At 48.1% G+C, this 3,436-nt stretch overlaps 1 annotated feature.

Moving 5' to 3' along the window:
* Positions 233 to 322: a silencer, noted in NCBI's record as "silent region_14984". NCBI's record gives its function as "represses an Ori minimal core promoter by ATAC-STARR-seq in GM12878 lymphoblastoid cells {active_cell/tissue: GM12878}" and the evidence as "EXISTENCE:reporter gene assay evidence [ECO:0000049][PMID:35858748]".

A 3,436-nucleotide genomic window follows, 5' to 3' on the forward strand; every position in this document is an offset into this window, starting at 1 on the left:
ACGGGCATAAATATCCGGTGGTTGGGCCGGGCGTGGTGGCTCATGCCTGTAATCCCAGCACTCTGGGAGGCCGAGGTGGGTGGATCACCTGAGGTCAGGAGTTCAAGACAAGCCTGGCCAACATGGTGAAACCTCGCCTCTACTAAAAATACAAAAAAAAAAAAAAAAAAAAAAAATTAGCCGGGTGTGGTGGCACGAGCCTGTAGTCCCAACTATTCGGGAGGCTGAGGCAGGGGAATCGCTTGAACCCAGGATGCGGTGAGCCGAGATCGCGCCACTGCACTCCAGCCTGGGCAACAAGAGCGAAACTCCATCTCAAAACAAACAAAGATCAGGTGTTGGGCAGTGCTCGGTCAGTGGTGGCCATGGCTGCGCAGGAGGAGGCAGAGCTCAGTCTTTGGTGGGTCACGCCTCTGTGGTTCTGCTTGGCTGGTTTTCTGTAGTGCTATACCTGCATATACAGCTACAGCTGTCTTGAGAGCTGACTCCGTCTACTTTTTTTTCTCTGAAAAATGAAGTTACTGAAAGCAAAGTGTGTTTCTTGAGTGTGTTTTTATCCTTGACAAGTGTTAAGGATACGGAGTACATACAAAATAACAAACTGAGAGCTGCTATTACTGTCTATTTTAAGCCTCGGTAAGCTGCTTGAACTCCTAGAAAAGAGAAGGAAGAGACAGGGGGTTGGGGGAGGGGGGCATGATACAACCAGGTGCAACCTGGGGTCAACTAAAGAAGACACAAGGAGAATAGGCATGACTTTTAGGGCGAACTTCAGAGAGAAGAGAAAGGCTGCTCTCAACCTCTTTGAAGGAAAATTTATGCAAGACTCCCAACTTGCTCACAATCTGCATAAAGGCAGCAAACGAATTGAGTAAATTACCTTTGTCCTCACTCAAGGGATATCTAATAATAATCCCAAGCTTTATTCTTTGGTAGGGCAATACACACAGCCAAAACTGCCCCAGTTGTTAAAAATGATTAAGTATTTCTGTATTCCTTGGAAAAGAACTGCTATCTGAACCACCGGAATGCTACCAGCTATCCCATTTGCCCCAGCTCCTCAACTGGGACTCCCCAGACCTCTGCCCACTCCCGCCAGGGTGAATGCCTGGCCCCGAAGGTCACTGCTGCAGCTCTAGAATGTTCATTCTGACTGATTGGTGCCTGGACTACACTGATTGTGAAAGTATCCTATCTGTTCTCAGGCAATGGTCGTAAGCGACACTGCTGACTAAGCCAGAGAGTTATTAAAGTAACTTAGTGCAGGATGGCAAGGAAGTTGGGTAGAGATGGAAGAAGAGACTAGCTCAAGGTTGCCTGGGGATGGGGAGTGAGGGGCTGTTAGTGCTGAAGCCTCCTGGACTCACTACATGAAGAAGGATCCTCCTTGGTCCTGAATGGCATGGCAATACCCATTTACTGCCTCTAGGAGAAGCTGGGAGGAACAGATCACAGCTAAGAAGCAACAGGAACCCCAGAGGGGAAAAGTCTTACGTAAATATGCAAGAGGATTAAAAACAGAAAAAGAGAATATTAATCCAAACCACAAGTGTATTTTCAGACTGCCAAGGTCCTGAACTCCTGCGTCTTACGCACCTCAGTGTGAATGGTGCTTTTACCAAAGTAAGAGAGAATTTAACTCAACTGAGGGACTTATAAGGGAGGTTAAGGGAAAAGTTCCAGATGGGGTAGTATAAAAATGCAGAAAGAGCAAATAATTCCTTTAAAGAGTAAATGCCACCAAAGGCCCCAATTTAGCAAATGCCTGTGTATCCTCGGAACTCACTGCACTTACAAAATATCCCTTCGGGGCATGGCATGAAATTTGACCATGCAATAAGATTTCCTTCATTTGGCATATGTTTATTGTGTTTACATATTTGGTCTCAGAGCCAAAAATACGCACAGATAGGTCCCAGGCCAAACTTGTAAGCAAATGAAAATTTTTTGTGACTACTTCTTCCATCTTCCTTTCACCTCCCTTTGCCCTCCAGTGGTCAATCTAACCCCCTCTGAGGGATGAGTGCTTTTGGCTCAAGTGGTAATTCCTTTTGGAGAGGAATTATGAAGGACACATTCCATTCAGGACCTGGAGGAGTGAATCTCTGTGAGTAGGCTTATCACGAGGGGTGGGAGAAGGCCTTTTGGGGGCCAGTTCACAGTAATTCACTTTTTTCTGGGCTTGGAAGGAAGAGTTCCTCAAACAGTAGACACTTTGCATTTCAGGTGCATGGTTGCAATTGTCCATGCAGCCAGGGAGGTCTCTGTTTCTAATAGTCAAGCTCCAGCACAAAGGACTGGATAGAAGTGATTGAGCTGAGGAATGTCTTAGCTTCCCAGCAGGATAGCCACCAAAGCAGCAGGCACACAGGGAGGGGACCATAGAGGAGTATTGATCACTGACAAAGGAACTGCTGCCCCATGATGTAGGAAAGAGTAAGTCCGCTTTAAGTCAGTTTCATTATTGATTTTAAACTCTCTAGGCCAGGCGTGGTGGCTCACGCCTGTAATCCCAGCATTTTGGGAGGCTGAAGTGGACAGATCACTTGAGGTCAGAAGTTCGAGACCAGCCTGGCCAACATGGTGAAACCCCGTCTCTACTAAAAATACAACAATTAACTCGGCATGGTGGCGGGCGCCTGTAGTCCCAACTACTCTGGAGGCTGAGGCAGGAGAATCGCTTGATCCAGGGAGGCAGAGGTTGCAGTGAGCCGAGATGGCACCACTGCCCTCCAGCCTGGGCATTAGGGTGAGACTCCATCTAAAACAAAACAAAACAAAAAATTCTCTAGAGACTATGTATGCTTTTATTTACTGCACTGGGGGTGGGCCACTTCTACCACCAGCCCTGCCTGCAACCTGCCCAGCACAGAAGTACCTCAGAGGTTTCTCAGCCCACACAGTTTTCCCTGGGAGCTAAAGTCTGAGAAGTCATCTCAGTACAAACTGACAATGGCAAGGTTAGGAACAAAGGCAGAGGTGAGGTGAGGAACTTGGGTCTGTATGTACTATGAGGACGCCTTTCTGCCAGGCGAAAGAGAAGCAGACTGCGGTTCCTGGCAGGGCAGCCACACTCTCCCAGCACCCTCCTGCTCAGTCTCTGGTGACTGAAGCATCACAGGAGGCCTCGCCTGTGTCCTCCAGTTGCTAGGGTGATTTAAAAATAGCTTCTGCAGCTGGGGAAGGGGGCAGGGGAAGAATGAAGATAAGTGGCCTTTTGCAGGAAAACCAAAGTCAGTGAATCCTCAAAGGCAATGACCCTCCCTTGCAGGAAGGTGTCCTGTGTTTACTGTGCTTCTTACCTGAAAGACAATCTTTTTGTCCTGGGTCTGCTGTGGACTCTTTCTGGTAAGGACCCGGCTGCCTCTGGAGAAGGCCCTGTTCACTCTGTGGACCTGCAGCCAGGAGGACACCGGCAGTCTCTACACAGAAACAA

The sequence above is a fragment of the Homo sapiens genome, chromosome 3, assembly GCF_000001405.40.
Source record: "Homo sapiens chromosome 3, GRCh38.p14 Primary Assembly".
Classification (NCBI taxonomy): domain Eukaryota; kingdom Metazoa; phylum Chordata; class Mammalia; order Primates; family Hominidae; genus Homo; species Homo sapiens.